At 45.9% G+C, this 18,572-nt stretch overlaps 1 protein-coding gene and 1 pseudogene across 11 annotated transcripts in view, besides 2 other annotated features; both read right to left on the minus strand.

Annotated features, from left to right (window-relative positions):
- Positions 1 to 18,572, minus strand: part of CRACR2A (calcium release activated channel regulator 2A) — a 137,782-nt gene that overhangs the window by 102,213 nt on the left and 16,997 nt on the right. For 8 of the 11 annotated variants that reach the window (NM_001144958.2, XM_006719021.4, XM_047429739.1 and 5 more), the window contains exon 2: positions 15,402 to 15,670. The exons of 2 other annotated variants lie outside the window; for them this stretch is intronic. The gene's annotated coding sequence lies outside the window, so the exon portion shown is untranslated. Of the gene's footprint in view, positions 1 to 11,242; positions 11,572 to 15,401; positions 15,671 to 18,572 lie in introns of those variants that run through there. One more of the 11 variants, XM_047429736.1, reaches the window with a different exon arrangement.
- Positions 8,682 to 8,787, minus strand: RNU6-174P (RNA, U6 small nuclear 174, pseudogene; annotated as a pseudogene).
- Positions 11,297 to 11,396: a silencer, noted in NCBI's record as "silent region_4141". NCBI's record gives its function as "represses an Ori minimal core promoter by ATAC-STARR-seq in GM12878 lymphoblastoid cells {active_cell/tissue: GM12878}" and the evidence as "EXISTENCE:reporter gene assay evidence [ECO:0000049][PMID:35858748]".
- Positions 15,696 to 16,324: an enhancer, noted in NCBI's record as "H3K27ac-H3K4me1 hESC enhancer chr12:3842402-3843030 (GRCh37/hg19 assembly coordinates)". NCBI's record gives its function as "activates a minimal SCP1, AML or CMV promoter by ChIP-STARR-seq in naive H9 embryonic stem cells {active_cell/tissue: H9 hESC(naive)}" and the evidence as "EXISTENCE:reporter gene assay evidence [ECO:0000049][PMID:30033119]".

An 18,572-nucleotide genomic window follows, 5' to 3' on the forward strand; every position in this document is an offset into this window, starting at 1 on the left:
ACACCACCGACTGAACGATAACAACAGCAATAACCATAAAATGATGAGAGCACACTTTTATATGGTGCTTCAGAGTACACAAAGGATTTTGTCATTTATGCCTCTCATTTATGAGTCACTATCTTATTTGTAATACACCTACATTATTATACGGCTTTCAAAGATTACGCTATCTTATTTGTAATAAGAACATGCCAGCAGTTATGGATCCTGGTTGACAGCTGTGGAGGGCTGGGCCTGGGGATGCCAGATGTCTCCCATATACTCCTCCATGTGACACTTAGTCATCTTCAATGACACCTTCATCTCCAAAGCATTCCAACTCGGTGGTGTGGCCTTTGAATGGATGAAGAGAGCCTTAGATGAGGCTCAGGATCCTGTGCTCAGTTCCCATGTGACCCTAGATGGATCTCACTCTGTCTTAAGAACACTAGGCTTTGGTTTTAGACAGCCCTGGGTTCAAGTCCCAGCTCTGCCACTTCCTACCTGTGATCCTCAGGAAGTTATTTATCTTCTCTGAGCCAATTTCTCCTGTGTTAAACATGGATGATAACAGCACCTCTCATAAAGTTTTTGTGAAGATGATAAGATACACAGCACACAGAAAGTGCTTAGCACAGGGTATGACCCATACTTAGTGCTTTAAGTGCTAATTATATTATTACTATTATCATCATAGGGAAGATAGTACAGTGTTGTTCCCTCGCCTGAACCCACAGACTAGGTCAGGACCCAGGGGCGTGGGCATCCTTCCTCTTTTTGCATGAGCTCAGCATGCTCCAGTGGGTGGAACCGAGGGCCCTGGGTGAAGACACCTTTGTGGAGCAGGCAGCATTCTCTCTCAAGCAGCCGGGCTTGCAGGGATGCTCTTCTCCCAGTTTCCATGCCTTGGGGGGATGGCAGAGTCTTGATCCCAAGCCATAGACCTGTACTGTCCAATACAGTAGCCACAAGCCACATATGAAGGTGAGCACTTGAACTGTGGACAGTCTAAAGTGAGATGTAAGAGCAAAAGAGATTTCAAAGACTGAGTTCAAAAGAAAGGAATGTAAAAGATCTCGTTAATAATTTTTAGAGTGACTGCATGCTGAAATGATTATATGTTGCATGTATTAGGTTAAACAAAATGTTATTACAATGAATTTCATCTGTTTCTTTTACTTTTTTAAAACAATGTGGCCAAAATGGAAAATTATACAAGTGGCTCATGTTGCATTTCTGATGTGCAGCGCTGGTCTGGAGTGTAAGCTCCATGAAGGCAGGTGTCTCTTTGGTTCACAGCTGTATCCCTGGCATCCAGAAAAGCACCTGAATGGATGAGTGAGCCAGTGAGTGTGTGAGGCTGGAGGAGAGTTTACAAGAAGCTGGAGGTCCTACTTGAGCAGACAGGAACAACTCCTGGACTCCTTGAGTTAGGGTTGAAAGTAGGAATAACACAGGCTCCTTTCCAAAAACTTCAGGGTGGGGAGACTGGGACCAGGTCAGGAGGGGAATTTGCTCAGGAGGCCACAGGTTAAAGCAAAGTAGAGCACCCAAGAGAGAATGTTTTGGGGGAGTTAACACAGCAGATGTTATGATTAACACAGCCTCGGTTATGTGCAGATGAGGAAATGGAGGCTGGATTCCAACCAAGCACATCTCAAACCCATGCTCTTTCTACTGAATCCCTTACCTCCCACAGGCAATGTAGAGGTGCAGAAAGAAAACCAGACTTGGGATTTTTTTTAAAAAAAGCATATTCCCCCATGTCACCGCTGATGTCCTAACCTCAGGAAAGTCACTTGGCCTCCTTGGGCCTCGGGCTCCTCTTGTCCTCCTCCATAGTAGGTAAATCACCAGATCCTGTCCATTTCATTTCTTTCTAATGGTGTGCAGAGATAGGAAATCCTATCCCGGAATGTAGTCTCAAAGGCTGAGCCCTGCATAGTTCCCCTCCTTTCATGCTCCAAAAGAGGCTCTCTGACTGAGGTTTCTTTGCATCACCCAAATCAATGATTTGTTTAAGGGTTCTCTTTGATTTAACTTGGTTTTAGATGCTTTTCATCAGAAGCCAAAACCGTGCAGACTCTTTCCTTGATCTGGTAATGAAATTCCCTCTGAGATATTTAATACTAGAAACAGCCTCTGCTATACCATATTCTTTCAAGAAAAAAGACATCTAAATAACAAAAATCCTGCCATATCCAAATAAAAATCTCAGATTGTGAATGGACTTATCTCTCTTATATCTGCTTTCATTGTCCTGCTGCCATCCACACCAATGAATTTCCTACATTTTTTATAAAAATGGAAGGTGGCCAGGTACAGTGGCTCACGCCTATAATCCCAGCACTTTGGGAGGCTGAGGCAGGTGGGTCAACTGAGGTCAGGAGTTCAAGACCAGCCTGGCCAACATGGTGAAACCCCATCTCTACTAAAAACACAAAAAATTAGCTGGGCGTGGTGGCGGGCGCCTGTAATCCCAGTTACTGAAGAAGCTGAGGCAGGAGAATCGCTTGAACCCAGGAGGCAGAAGTTGCAGTGAGCTGAGATCGTGCCATTGCAATGCAGTCTAGGCAAGAATAGCGAAACTCTATCTCAAGAAAGAAAGAAAGAAAAAGAAAAGAAAGAAAGAAAGAGAGAGAGAGAAAGGAAGGGAGGGCGGGAGGGAGGGGGAGGGAGGGAGGGAGAGAGAAGAAGAAAGAAAAAGAAAGAAAGAAAGAAAGAAAGAAAGAGGGAAGGAAAGAAAGAAAGAGAGAGAGAAAGAAAGAAAGAAAAAGAAAGAAAGAAGGAAAGAAAGAGAGACAGAAAGAAAAGAAAGAAAGAAAGAAAAAGGAAAGAAAGAGAGAGAGAAACGAAGGAAGGGGGAGGGGGGGAGGGACGGAGTGAGAGAGAGGAAGAAAGAAAGAAAGAAAGAAAGAAAGAAAGAAAGAAAGAAAGAAAGAAAGCAAAAGAAAAAAAGAAACAAATAAAAATGGAGGGTACTTAATACACCGCCAGGCTCTTGTGCCTGCCACAGGTCTCGACGGGATCCTGATGCTCTAACGTTTTCTACTGTGTTAATCCCTCACAACATTCTCTCTCGTGTGCTCTGCTTTGCATTGACCTGTGGCGTGCTGAGTGAATTCTCCTCCTGACCTGGTCCCAGCCTCCCTACCCCGAGCTTTTTGGAAGAGAGCCTGTGTTATTCCCACTTCCAATCCTCGCTCAAGAGCCTCTTACATTTTAATCTAACCAGAGTATTTTAGAGCCAAAACTGACTTCTTAGAGAAGAAAATCTCACCCACTCCCACCCAGGTGAAACGCCAACATTATTTTTGATCAGAAGGGATAAAGAAAGATTTGCCAGTATCAACTGTGTCATTCTAAAGCAAGACAAAGTCGAATCATGGTGGGCAGAGCTGCTTTCCAACACAACCCCATGCAGGATGCAGAACTCACTTTATTACCCGCCTGTGGCTCAGCCACTTGTTGAATTATTATGGATTTTTAGTCTCTTCCCTCACCCACTCAGCAGAGTGGTTGACTGGCCAGCACTTTCTAGTGCTCATGAGAATGCCTGAGTTTTAAATAAGCAGCACGCACCAGCACAGCAAAGCTGCTTTCTCAACAATGATTACATGCAGAATTCCAAAGCCAAACAAATTCACCTAGCGGCTCTATTCAGCTAACATTTACAGAGTGACTCCTAGTAAAAGATGCTGTGTTAGGAACGGGGTAAAAAGCAAGTGAGGCCAGCCATGATGACTCACACCTGTAATCCCAGCACTTTGGGAGGCTGAGGCAAGAGGGTCGCTTGAGCCCAGGAATTTGAGACCAGCCTGGGCAACATAGCAAGACCCCGTCTCTACAAAAAAAAAAAAGAAAGAAAGAAAAGAAAGAAAGAAGGAAAGAAAGAAAAAGAGAGAGAGAGCAAAAGAAAAAACTAGCCAAGTGCAGTGGTACATGCCTGTAGTCCTAGCTACTTGGGAGGCTCTCTTGAACCTAGGAGTTTGAGGTTGCAGTAAGTGAGCCATGATCACACCACTGTACTCCAGTCTGGGCAACAGAGTCTCAATCATGTCTCAAAAAAAAAAAAAAAAAGTGAGTGAAACGTTATTCTTCTCCTCAAATAGCTTATAGTCTAGTGGAGATAAATGCATGTGAAAAACTAAAATGTAAGGCAGAATGAGAAAAGGGCAATAAGAAAAGACATGTACACTGAAAAAAGACTAGAAGGAAATGTACCACAATATCAATGGTGGTTATCTTGTTTATTGGGTTTATGGGTGATTTTTATGATGTTCTTTAGTATTTCCTATATTCTCTGTGTTTATGTTAACCCCCAGGGCTGTGGGGAGGGGAAGGGAGATGGAAGACGTCCAGCACGTGTTTGGAAAAATGTGAGTAGGGAACAGGGTGCACTGGCACAAGGACAGAGTAAGAGATAGGACAGGAGGGCTAGAAAGCCTTGAATGTCATGCCAAATTGACTCAGTTGCTCACTGTCAGTGTTTCAATGGCCTTTTGTGATTGTTGCTGATGCATCACCCATCACACTGGATTAGACTTGTGTACATGTCTACCCCCATACATTTTTAGCTCCCTGAAGTCAGGGATCATGGCTTATTCATTCTGTAACCATACTACCCAGCACAATGACTAGCACATAACAGGAGTCAACAAAATCTTCTTGGATGTGTTGGATTCTAACAGGGTTATTCCTTATTTTGCAGGTTATAAGGAGTCATCAAGGGTTCCAGGACCTGACATATTTTAGGGAGTTCATATGGAATATATACCAGGCACTATGCTGGGAGCCTTAATTGTCTTAATTGACCCTACCTATAACCCTCATTGTCCACATTCATTTACACATGAGGTTCAGAAAGTTTAGGTAACCCACCTAAGGTCATACAGTCTGAAGACAGTGTGGGTGCTAAAGTCAAACAGAAAGAAGTAAGGAGACTAGACCCATGAGAGGCCGTGGGGACCTGGAATGGCACAGCCACTCGAGAACGAAGTGTGGAGCGAGGCTGGCATCTGGGAGGCCGTATGGAGGTAGCACTTACAGCTGAGGGGTGATGAACTCCGTGGCTCCTGCATCAGGCACATTTATCATTTCTGATGTCAGCACAGGACACACAGTACCAACAGGGACTCATCCTTGCCTTATTAGAATAGCTACCAGAAGTAGGATTTGTGCAAACAGCCCCTAACCATGCTGTGAATAGTCCCCCTCCACTCTCTCATCCACTGGCTTTTTCATGAAATTCCTAGACCCAGACACTTTCATGAAAATGTTGATACAACTGGCTCTGACTACAAATGTAAATCAATTTCCCTAGCCTAAACAAAAACAGAATTGGGAATCAGAAATGCTTTCTCATCCCATCTCAGTCACTGACTAAATAGGTACTCTTCATCTATTTCCTTACCCTCTCTGAGCCTCAGTTTCCTTATCTGTGGATTGATTGGGCTGGACAAGATGATCTTTAAGATCCTTCAGACTACATCCAAAACTGTATGTTCTCAGGAACTTTGTACTCCTCCTTAGCATTTATGACCATTGTAACTAAACAATTCCTGGTGTAACTAGTGAACATCTATTACTCCTGCTGGACTGCGAGCTCCTTGAGCCCGGGGACTATCTGTCTTGTTCCCAGTAATACTTGCAGCCTTGACTAGAGTGCTGAGCATGGAGTAGCATGCCATGTCTGCAGCACAGACACATGGCTGCTCCCTTTCTCTGGGTTGGAGCTATGTGTGGACCGCAACCAGCCTTAGGCCTTCTCACCATGATAGGGCTTCTCTAATGGTGCTTGCTCTCTGGAGGACACTGTTTCTCTCCATGGTTCAGGTGGCCAGTTAGTGTCAGATTTATCCACCCTTCCAGCCAACCCTGGAAAACTCTTTTGGATTTTCTAATAAATAAGAGGAGGTCAGTGGTGGGGGGTTTGGAAACTGTGTGTGTTTGCATTCAAAATACCCTACTGCTCAACTGGAAACGTTTTCACACGTCTCTGACTCAGTGGCACAGAGAGATGCCTAGGGATGCCCCTAGGTGTCCCTAGGGGCAGCTCAGTGCCCCAGTGAGACTTAGCAACTCCAGCCATGGTCCTCCATCCTGCTCCCTAACCTCAGCCCCACATCTCACGTTAAGAGGCCAGGCCTTTCTCTCTCAAGCCCATAGTAGGCAAGGATGCTGGGGTTCTTGTAGGCAGGAGGATGCCTGGAATGACCTCCACCAGGGCCTCTTATCCAGGGGATCCCAAAGCTGCTCCTTGGAGCCAACAGCTGCATTTTGGCCTGTGCTTACCATTCTGCAGTCTCTCTCTCAACATTAAATCAGTAGCCACTGACATTACAGTGTCAGTCATATGACGGTGTCCATAGAAGGAAGAGATCTCCTTCCTTTAAAGATGTTTATTTCCAGAAAATGAAATGAAGGCACTCCTATGCCCTTCCTTCGTTTCTAGGACAATGGGTAACGTCAAATCCCCAATAGAGCTGGCAATCAAAGACTAAGAATAATCATGCATCAGTTGTTCCCATCTGTTTCCTCCTGTCTCCTTCCAATCCAGGCCCCCAGCACCCGGCCCTAGTGCTCAGTGCATCACAGTCCCTAGATTCTTCTTGTCAGGCGGCGTTTAATTGCTTTTCTCTACCCTTAAGGCCGTATTATACTCAGGGTGAGCTCTCTGCTCCCAGAGTATTGGCCCTTTCTGAGTTCACTGTTCAAAACAACACCTGGGAAATGCACGCACAAGATCCAGAAATGAGATTGGTGTGTTCTTGCACAAGCCCTCTCACACCCTCTAGGCTCCTGCTGAGCCAGCCAGAGAAGTCAGCGAGGACTCTGCTTTCATGGGCATTGTTAATGAAAGTTTCACTTGCTTAAGTTTGCAGAAAGTAGGGCATGGATCTGCGCTTCATCATGCAGTGCCCCGCGAGACGCCTCCCCAAGATAGCTGGCTGGTTATTAACTAAGCACAGCTGGCATTGTGTGTGCTCTGAGGCTGGCTGCTCTCATTCCAGCTTGGTGGTCTAAGCATAGGAGAAAATGGTCCCTTAGGAGAAGCTTGTCAGAAGTGATGTGACTTAGTTTAGATATCTGCAGGTAGGACTGACTTCTAAGACATTGGCAGGGCCATCCAATGATGTCAGCAATATCACCCAGACCGTCTGGGGCTGCAAAACAAATAGCTTTGCTGGGATTCATAAAGCCACCATCGTAAAGTGGAACTGCTGGTGTTGGGGAGGGGTGGAGTGCACCCTGGAGGGAGTGACCCTTACATTGATGGACAACAGAACACTAAGTGTTCAGACATCCGACCTCACCCTTCACTGGTTCCCACTGCTATGGAATGGAGTGTGAACTCGCTTCCTGGGCTGCTTGGGCTCTTTTGGTCTAAGGAGGCGCAGCAAGCACTATTTTCCAAAATAGGACAGGAGAGAATGGAGAAGAAGAATGGAGAGGAATTCATCTTTCCTAGAAAAAGGAAATATTCTCTGGTTGGTTCTCCACAGAATCAGTGCCCGCTCCCCCTGGACAGTCGCTGTCCTATAATAGTGGTCCTGCCTCCCATTTTCCCTCCAGCCAGGCCTCCCTGCTTTCACTCACTTTGCTTCCATATGAGAAAGGCTCTCCCACATCTCTTCCATCTCACCAAATCTCCTCCACCCGTTAGGCAGGGTTTTAATCTATAAGGGTTGCCAATGAATTATCAAAAACCAGGTGTCTTAAAACAACAGATTTCTTCTCTCACAGTTCTGGAGGCCAGAAGTCCTAAATCAAGGTGACTGCGGCGCTGTGTCCCCTCTAAAGGCTCCTGCAGAGAATCTGCTCCTTGCTTCTTCCGGCTCTGGTACCTCCAGGTGTTCCTTGGCTTGAGGCTATATCACTCCAGCTCTGCCTCTGTCCTCATTTGGCCTTCTTCTCTCTATGTCCCTCCTCTGTGTGTCTCTTTATGAAGACACTTGCCACTGAATTCAGGGCCCACCCAGATAACCCAGGATGATCTCATCTAAAGATCCCTCACTTCATTACATCTGCAAAGACTCTTTTTTCCAAATAAGGTCATATTCACCAGTTCTGGCAGTTAGGACATGGGCCTATCTTTTTACCATTCGCCCCTCTGCAGGCACTGATTCTCAACCCTCAGAGTACATCAGATCCTCTGGGGAGATTTTTAAACACTCCAGATGCGTGGGCCTCACTCCAGAAATTTGTTTTCACATGATCCTGGATGGGAAATTAAATAAGTATTTTCTTTTCTTCAATTCCCCAGTTTCTCAAGCGCAGCCAGGATGGTGGGGCAGGGGCAAGGAGCACCACATCTCCCGGACAGTACTTCATTGAAGAAGACATTGTAAAGAATCCCAGCTTTCACTGATCACTTTCTCCTCCAGGATTTTTTTTTTTCTGACTGAGTCATGAATCAGGCTGTCATCCATTGTTTTGTAAATGTTGCACAAAGAATGTCAGAGACCTTGGAGATCATTTAACCCAGTGGTGCTCCACCCTATCCAATCAATGCCCTATTTTTGTAACAAATATTTAGAAACACCATCTTTACCACCTGAAATACAATTCCTAGAAAAGTCGGTCGACCCAAACGCATAAAGTAGCCCTAATTTTAATAAAAGGATAAAAAGGAAATGTGATTAATATATATAAATACATACTATATGTATATTTTATATATATACGTATATACACAGAGAGAGAGAGAGCGAGCACACACTTGGCATGTCATCTTGTGCAGGAGCCATGCTAATCTTCTTTGTATCATTCCAATTTTAGTATACGTGCTGCCAAAGTGAGCACAGAAATGTGATTCTTAATAAAATAATATGTCTGTCAATATGTACGTGCTCATGCATGCCTGCACTGGAACACATAATGAAGTAGTCAACACTTCCACCTACCTATAATGGTTAAGTTTAGATTTAACAGAAGACAAATAGAAGCCACTTCATATAAGAAGTACAAGGAAATAAAAGATCAGAGGGATATAGGAGGACAATAGAATAAAGAAGTGTTACAATGAGTTACCCCCCTTTCCTGGCCGTATATGATAACAGGAAGAAGGAAATAACCTTCACTGAGGTACAGATAACAAGCCAAATCAAATTACAAATGTGCAAGCAGAGGAAACAAGGAAGCACAGGATCCTGTCTCGTGAGCTCAGTCTTACGTATAAGTGTAGCGTCATGATAATTTATTACGCTGTGATATGGGGCAGGATAGTGACAAAGTGTCACAGAAAACATGTTTCCAGTCTGGAAATCCCACCCACTGTGTTGAGGCATATATTCGGTCTTTAGCAGTAAAGAAAAAAAAAAGAAAGAAAAGAAAGAAAGAAAAAAAAAAGTGGCTGGGCGTGGTGGCTCACACTTGCAATCCCAGCACTTTGGGAGGCCAATGCGGGTGGATCACAAGGTCAAGAGATTGAGACCATCCTGGCCAACATGGTGAAACCCCGTCTCTACTAAAAATACAAAAATTAGCCGGGCGTGGTGGCACACCCTGTAGTCCCAGCTACTCGGGAGGCTAAGGTGGGAGAATTCCTTGAACCCGGGAGGCAGAGGTTGCAGTGACCTGAGATCGCACCACTGCACTCCAGCCTGGCAACAGAGTGAGACTCTGTCTCAAAAAAAAAAAAAAAAAAAAGCTTTTAAAATGACATCCTTATAGTATGGGCGGTGAGAAGAAGAGGATGGATTGGGAAAAGTTGTTGGGTAAATCTTGAAGGAGAATATCAGAGTAAGAAGGAAGAACAAAAGGCAACCCCAAAGAAGTAACCATGATAGCTAATTTTTGCAAGAGATTTCTTATCATTGTACTACAAATATAAATATATGTGATAAGAATATTATTTTTAAAACAGCTTTTATAAACAAGTTTGAGGCGCCTCTGCTAATTTAAACTAGTATCTAATTCTACATCGGCTGGATGAAGTCTCAGATTTCCTGTTACAGACCTGCGCATGGGTTCCTTGCTTTGCGGTCACTGCATATTGTACTGTGCCCTTTTCAGTTCAGTGTATATTTGGAAATGCTCTGATCTAGACAGAATGCATGAAGCAGGGAGATCATCTCGTCATTTCGAGGTTTTGTCTTTATTCCATTTAGGCTTCTCTTCCTAAAACAACCATTTCCTAAATACCGGGCTTTTGGCTTAACTTCTTTGAAAGTGTGAGAGGCATTACTCTAGGGGACAGCCTGACCCCATTAGAAACACTCGCCAAACAAGGGCTGAAAAACTACCTATTGCATACTATGTTCGTTATTTGGGTGATGGGTTAATTAGAACCCCAAACCTCGGCATTATGCAATATCTCCATGTAACAGACTTGCAGGTGTACCTCCTGAATCTAAAAAAAAAATAAAATAAAATAAGGAATACTGATCAAGTGTAACCTCATTCATTTCTGTAATGAGGAAACAGGCCCAAGAGGGTAGGCCAACTGTAAATTTTGCTCTCCTTCCTGTCACTAAGTTCCTTGAGGGCAAGGAGGGTATGGGATACTTCTTTTGTATCTGCACACAGCTGCCAGCACAGAGCAGCACACATACCTGTCTGTGGCCCTAGACGTGCCTGCTGTCTGTATTCCATCAGGACTCTGGAGTCTCCTTTTCAACCTGAAAACCACTCGTTTCTAATTACTCATCCATAGGAAACACAGGCAACGGATCCCCAGAAGTCACTTGGGACTGAGTTTCAACACTTTTGTTTCACACAGTTTCAGCACTCACACCAGCTGCAGCTGAAGACCATAGCACTTCAATGAAAAGCAACTGACTCCCTCCCCAACCCCTCTGCCCGTAGGCTGCTGTGGTTAGCACTGCACTCAGAGAAAGAATAAATAAAAAGCAAAAGCCCCAGTTGTTCTAAGATAACCACAGAGATGACAGATGCTGTTGCATGCAAACTTGCGGGAGAAGAGAGATAAACAGCACATTACAAATCCAACAAAGCATGGTGACGAGAAGCCTTGGCGGGCAAGTCCCGTTGCTGAGGTGTGACTTCAGAGATCAAGTGGAATGTGCCCTCTTGGTCCCATCCTCCCCTCACCCCTGCACTCTTCCTCTTTCAGCTGGCTGGGTTTAGAATTTCTTCAGTAGGGAAGAGGATTTTGCCCCGCTGGAAGAATGCTAACTCTCAGGATGAGTGATACTTTGGGAGACCCCCAGCCCCCAGCTTACAGGATAAACAAATGGCCAGGAATGAGAAAAGCTGAGGTGGAGCAGCAAAGGGAGGGAGGGTTCCTTTGGCCCACCTTTCAACCCCGAGTGGCCTCCAGAGAGCTGCCAGTTGTGGTCATGTTCATCCTGGGCTGCGGGCAGAAGGATGGCTCAATACCTTAGCTCATAGCCACCACTTCTGGGTCCCACTTCCTTCCTTCATCAAGTAGTGTAAAATGACGAGGACCCAAGACAGCTGGAAGCCACTCGCCTTGTTGTCCATGGTTGCTCCATGGCGTATTTGTCTCTTTTGTCACATTCTGGACACAACCCAACGCATCCATGTCACCAATACCACATGTAGCTGGTGGCACTGCAGCTTTCTGTTGACCTGCCTGAACTAGCCTCCAGGCACCAGGCTTGTCACTCACACCGAGCGCAGTGCCTGGCATTCAGAAGGTGCTCAATACATGTTCTTGGATTGAAAGAGCAAAAGGGCAGGGGAGCCAATTCCACTCTATGAAATGGGAAAAGCTGTCAAGGAACAGCCGTCACGTTAGTTATGAGACCACAGACGCATTGTCACCCACCTTTTTTGCAGTATGTAGCCATCTGGCCCATTTTCAGAGCTGCTCTTATCTTTGTCACGACTATCATCTCCACAGCATCAGTAATGACAGACTTAGAAGGTGAGAGGCTTAACTGTAAACCACTCCTTATTTAAAAAGACTTTGGGGCCGGGTAAGCTGGCTCATGCATGTAATTCCAGCACTTTGGGAGGACGAGGCAGGCAGGTCATGAGGTCAAGAGATCAAGACCATCCTGGCCAATATAGTGAAACCCCATCTGTACTAAAAATACAAAAGTTAGCTGGATGTGGTGGTGTGCACCTGTAGTCGCAGCTACTTGGGAGGCTGAGGCAGAAGAATCACCTGAACCCGGGAGGCAGAGGTTGCAGTGAGCCAAGATTGCATCACTGCATTCCAGCCTGGGTGACAGAGCGAGACTCTGTCTCAAGAAAAAACAAAAAGACTTTGGGAGCAGCATGATAGATTGGCTAAAATGTCAGGTTCTAGTGACAGAAAAACCTGGGTTCTGATCCTAGTTCTTCTGTGTGCGAGTTATGAGTCTTGGTGAAGCCACTTCACTCTGCTACTGTTTCCTTGTCTGGAAAAGTGAGCTAGTGCTACCACTGCCTTGGGGGGTCTGCTGAGAGAATCCATGTAATGGAGCAACACTTCTGACTGTCTTGTATTTCATTTTTATTGCTGGTCTCCATGCAATTACTCAGATAGTGCACAAAAGCAAGAAGAGAGCAGAGTTCTTTCCCTTCCACTTTTCAGCTCCCGAGATGAAAGCCTGGACATGGCAAGGCAGGGGCTGCAATCTCAAGCATACAGAAGATTAACAGAAATGGGCCGAGTGGGCAGGGGCCGATGAAGAAGAATCGCTTTCATATTAAGTCTGCCCTCCTCCCTCTGCTGGAAAAAGACAGCCTCCTTGGTTTTCAGTTTCCCCCTTGAAGAGACATGAGTACATGAGTGATTTCCCTTCCTCCTTAATACTCTATGAGAGAAACAGCACAATGTTGCTAGATGGCAGTCAACGCTCAGGCTGAACGCAAGAGGGTCAGCAAGAGGTGGTGGGGAAGATGCCAGAGCGGGGCAGGGAGGTCTCTTTAAAAGGACAGCTGCTACCCAACCCAACCAGTTGTCCACATACTAGAACTGAGTGTTTCCAGTTCTGTTGATTATTCAAAGATTTTTCAGAATTTTTAAATGTTACACACGTTCAGGGTCAACATGAAATGGCAGGTTTATTCCGTGCAGTGTTTCTTGTAATATTAACAGCAAATGACTAAAAACAACCTGTGTTCATCAGTAGGGGATTGCTAAATTATGGTAAATCCATACAATGGGATACTATGCCCCTGTAAAAAAAGAATGAGGAAGCTCTCCACATACTGAGAGGGAAAGATCACCAAGATAAATCGAGTGAAAAAGGCAAGGTTAAAAATAGTGTGTAGAGTCTGTTATAATTATGTAAGAAGTAGAGGGATGAGGCAGATATATATTTGTACTGACTTTTATCTGCAAAAAGAAATCCTGGAAGGTTGTATAGGAAACTAATAAAAGTGGTTACAAGGGAGGGGCAGGGCAGGACTGGCCAATGGAGGCAGGGATAAGATTTCGCCGAATACCTTTCTATAGCGCTTTAATTTTTGAACCACACAAATGTATTGCTTATTTGAAAAATAATACAAAAACACTGTATACACCAGCTACTGGGAAGAAAACACATCTACAGGCTACGAACAGCCTGCAGGCTTCTGGGTTGCACCTTCACATTAAGGGCTCCAAAACTGGAGAGGCAGAAAAGTTGGCAGCATTGGATCCAAGCTTTACTAGGTGTGGAGACAAGTAGGTTGTTCAGTATCTGGTGTCTGGAACTCTCTCTGGATTGCCTGGCAATGAGCTAGTTGGGCCCAGCAGCCTCCGCCACCTCCAGGGGGAAAGTGATGCACTCCCAGCCTCTCTGGAAGAGACTGCTCCAAAACTCAACTTCCCGGGAAACTGAGGAGCTCCAGGGTCACCAGGTGCTGGGCAGACAGAATTTCCTGCCATTCCTCGATAGTTAAGGCTGCCTGGAACCCCAGTGGTGTGTTCCCCCCATCAAGGCTCTGTCCCACTTGTCCCATACAAAGGAGAGCGATAGGTGAGTGCAGTTCCTCCTCTGGAGCACAGCATCCAATGTGTCCAGCTGGGCCCCAGCTCAGCACACCTCTCTAGTGAATGCTGAGAACAGAGGACATGCTCCCCTGCTGACACTGCTGCCAGTCACTTTCAGGCAGCACCATGGAACACCATTCATATTCACCCCGGCCCTTTGTATGTCCCTAGTCTTGTCACTGTGAATGAGCTCACTTAGTGTGGCAGCTTGAACTGTGATCTCCACATTGAAGTCCTAACCCCTAGTACCTCAGAATGTGACCTTCTTTGGAAACGGGGTTGCTGAAGATGTAATGAGTTAAGATGAGGTCATACTGGAGTAGGGCGGTTCCTAATATGGCTGGTGTCCTTATAAAAATGGGAAAATTTGGAAACACACACACACAGGGAGAATGCCATGTGATGATAAAGGCAGGGATTGGAGTGACGCAGCTGCAAGCCAAGGAAGACCACAGTCGGCCGGCAAATCGTCAGAAGCCAGGGCGAGGCAAGGAGGGGCCTCCTATACACCACAGAGGGGTCAGGCCCTGCTGATACCTTGGTTGCAGACCTCTCGCCTCTAGAACTGGGAGACCTGACATTTCTGTTAATCACCCAGTTGGTGGCACTTTGTTAAGGCAGCCCTAGGAAACTCATACACTCAGCAACCTCAGGCCAACTCGGGTGGCAAAAGTACCCGCCATTGCTCCTTCTCAGCAGGTGCCCAACAGATACTGGTGACAACACTGCTCCTATGAATGAAGATCCCAGGACCTGGCCCGGTCAAGTGTATTGTGTCGGAATGCATCAAATAGTCAACCAATAAACAATGGCTGAGTACCCGACCTTGTGAAGAATGCAAAAGACATAAAATATTCCATTACTACCCTCAAGGAGTTGACAATCTGATTGAAGATTCAAGAAAGACATGTGTAATAATGGCCAAATTAGTATTATCTTCCCCCAGCCCTCACCCACGACCAGCAGATGCCACAGAAGTCACTCTTAACTAAATTGCACTGTGCTCCCAGCTGGATTCAACCTTCTACTGCATCTCATTTCGCTGCTCCCTGCATGTGTCTGGAAGAACCGCTTTTCCAGCTCTCCAGGACATTCTTTAGGATGTCAGGCTACTAGACAATTTCTAGAAGCTGTCGCCACTGCTCCTGGCATGGAGCCCACACTTCTTGCCCACTGCGGACACCCACTCCTGGCCAGAATTGTCTGCCACCCCTGGTGAAGCCGCTCCCATCAGTTTCTTATGAGCGCTTTTGTCCCAGTCAGAGAAGCAGACCCTGTGGGATGTTGAGCCTATTCTGCAGCAATCAATGAATCTGACAAGCAAAAAACATGAGATCCAGGTGGTTTGAGAGTCCACTTTGCTAAGCTGACAGTTTTCAAGCCAGGGGCAGGCTACAGAAAATCAGAGACCCTCAGGAGAAATGCTGTTTTCTTATCCTCATTCAGAACATTTGTTTGTTTGGCCCAGCCTTCTCACAGGCGGCTGCTCCCAGTACCCCCTGAATCCAGGAACTCCGATTCTTACCATCAGCAAGACTCCTGTGCAGCCACACACCTGGCAGGAGAGGAGGCAGCACACCTGTGTTGAATTCTCCTGGCACTCCTGCTGAATCCCAGCGCTCTGGATCCGGCTCCTGCAGGGTTTTTCTTGTGCTAAGTGCCCAGTGGAGGCTCTGGCTGGGCTCATGGAGGAAGAGTGGCAAGTTGCTGCTGCCCCACCCTTGACAAACAGCCCAATGGCCCCAGGTGGCTCCGTGCCAGCCTCCTGAAGGGCAGCTGTGGTCAGGGCATGACCTGTGGGTAGAACAGAGAGAGGAAAGGGTTCCTCACTTTGACTTCAAGCAATTCATTTTAGATTATCTGGGTTGGGCTTTGAGGCAGACACTGTGGCTTGCTGAAGCAGCATCCATTTATCCTTTCCTCCTTTCTAGCAGAACTCCATTTCTGTTCACTCAGGACAGTGACCTCCTCCCCAGCTCAGAGGCCTCATCCAGCCAAAACAATGCAAGCTTCTTGCCAATGGGTAGGTTGGGGTGGACTCTACTCCGTCTCTGGTTGTTAAGACGTGAGAGGAGCCCTGCTAGGGGTGCTCGGAGAAGTGTTTTCCTGGCTCTTTTCCTCTGCTGGATGCTGTGCCATCTGATGTGTTGACTGCAACTTCTGCAGCCACTTTGTGACCATGAGGAGGAAGCCTGAGGCAGAACAGAAGGACTGAATCCGGGCCCTTGATGACATCGTTGACCACTGGATCAGACAACACCAATGTCACCCTTCCTCCAGACTTCTTATTACACATGCGATAAATATCCTTGTTTAAATCCATCGAGTTGTGGGTTTTTGCTACTCATAGCTAAGATTATCTGAGGTGATGTGCACTGAGATGTTCCTGAGACCACAAGACCACATTCTAGAATCCAATCCCACTATCCTAACCACAACATTCCCAAATTTTCAGGACACACACACACACACACACACACACACACACACACACACTTTTCTCTCCACCTTTTCTTGGTATTCAGTCCTTTTCCTAGACTGGACACATTTTGCCTTATTTTTTTTTTTTTTTGAGATGGAGTCTCGCTCTGTCGCCCAGGCTGGAGTGCAGTGGCATGATCTTGGCTCACTGCAAGCTCTGCCTCTCGGGTTCACGCCATTCTCCTGCCTCAGCCTCCTGAGTAGCTGGGACTACAGGCGCCCGCCACCACACCCGGCTAATTTTTTTTAAAAAATATTTTTAGTAGAGACGGGGTTTCACCATGTTAGCCAGGATGGTCTCTATCTCCTGACCTCGTGATCTGCCCGCCTCAGCCTCCCAAAGTGCTGGGATTACAGGTATGAGCCACCCCACCCGGCCTGTATTTTCAATAAATTCTGCAACATATGCCAATTCCATCATTTAATTAAGAAACATTTTTTACCCCCACTGATGTACCAGACACTTTGCTGGGCTCCCGGGACTCAAAACTGAAGTCAGGGACTAAACCCTGAAAATGGCATGGAAGTTCCTCAAAAAACTAAAAATAGAACTAGCATATGATCCAACAATCCCACTTCTAGGTATATGTCCGAAGGAAACACGATCAGTAGCTCAAAGTCATCTCCGCACTCCCGTGTTCACAGCAGCAGTATTCACAATCACCAAGACATGGAAACAACCTAAGTGTCCATCAACAGACGAATGGATAAAGAAACTGTGAGGTGTGTGTATGTGTGTGTGTGTGTGTGTGTGTGCATATACATAATAGAATATAATTTATCCATAAAAAGAAGAAAACCCTACCATTTGCGACAGCAGGGGTGAACCTCGAACCTTGAGGGCATTATGCTAAGTGAGGTAAGCCAGACAGAGAAAGGCAAATTTATGATGTCACTTATATGAGGAATCCAAAACAATTGAACTCAGAGAAACAGAGGGCAGAACGGTGGTTGCAAGGGGCTGTAGGTGGCGAGAGAGGGGAAATGTTGGTCCAAGGGTACAAAATTGCAGTTACAATGTGGATAAGCGGGTAAGTTCTAGAGATCTAATGTACAGCATGATGACTTAATACTGTATTGTATACTTGAAATTTGCTAAGAGGGTAGATTTTAAATGCTCCTACCACATACACAAAAATGGTAACTAGGTGGGGTGATGAATGTATTAACTAACTTTATAAAAAAAATTTTCTCTTTGAATTCTATGTTAACCAACTTGATTGGGCTATCATTTCATAATATACACATATATATCAAATCATCAGGTTGTACACCTTAAATTTATAGAATTTTATCTTTCAGTTACACCTCAATAAAGCTGGAAGAAAATGAAGCCCTGCGGAGATAGAGCAAGTGAGCCCAACTCCTGGAAAAGAGGTGAGTGCAGGGAGGCAAATCCTAGGACAGGGTGCACGCAAGCCTGTGTGGGCACAAAGAAGGGTGCGGGGAGACCTGGCGCTGGGAGAGTGTTAGCAAAATGCTCCTCAGAAAAGAAATGAATTCTTGAAGGGAGACAAGAAAACTGCAAGCAATAGAGGCAGGCAGACATTCACAACTGAGTAAGTAAATAGTAATAAAATAACAACCAACAATGGTGGCAACTAACAGTTCCTGACACAATGACCCAGGCAGTGTTTGAAAGTTTTCTGGGTACTAACCCATTTAATCCTCCTCCAAAGCCTGTAAGGTAGTTCAAGGATTAGCCCCATTTTATGGATCAGTAAACTGAGGCATGGAGAGGTTAAGTGATACAGGAAGTGGGTAGCAGAGGCAGGACTTGGACCCAGGCCGTGGAGCTCCGAGGCTCACATGCTTTATAGGCTACACTGGTGGTTCTCACAGTGGCCGTCAGGAGAGAAGCCCCCGCAGCCCCTGGAAACTTGTTACCAATTCAGATCTTGGGCCTCATCTCAGACCCACAGAGTTAGAACCTCCGCAGGTGAGGCCCAGCATGCCACGTTTTCACAGCAGGCCTTCCTTGTGATTCTGATATTTGAGAACCCTGCTTGACACTATAAGCCTGTACTGAGAAGGGATGGCATGCTCAGAGGACCATGAATGCTGCAAAGAGAAGCAAAAGCCAGAGGGCAAGACAAGTAAGCTGTGAAGAAGCCCATCAGGAGGGTGGGCTTTACTGTATGGGCATGAGGGAGAAAGGTATGGGGTGAGGCAGGGAGGTGGCTTGATTGGGCTTTGTTCTCTGTGACAAGATCTC

The sequence above is a fragment of the Homo sapiens genome, chromosome 12 (genome assembly GCF_000001405.40).
Source record: "Homo sapiens chromosome 12, GRCh38.p14 Primary Assembly".
In the NCBI taxonomy this organism is placed as follows: domain Eukaryota; kingdom Metazoa; phylum Chordata; class Mammalia; order Primates; family Hominidae; genus Homo; species Homo sapiens.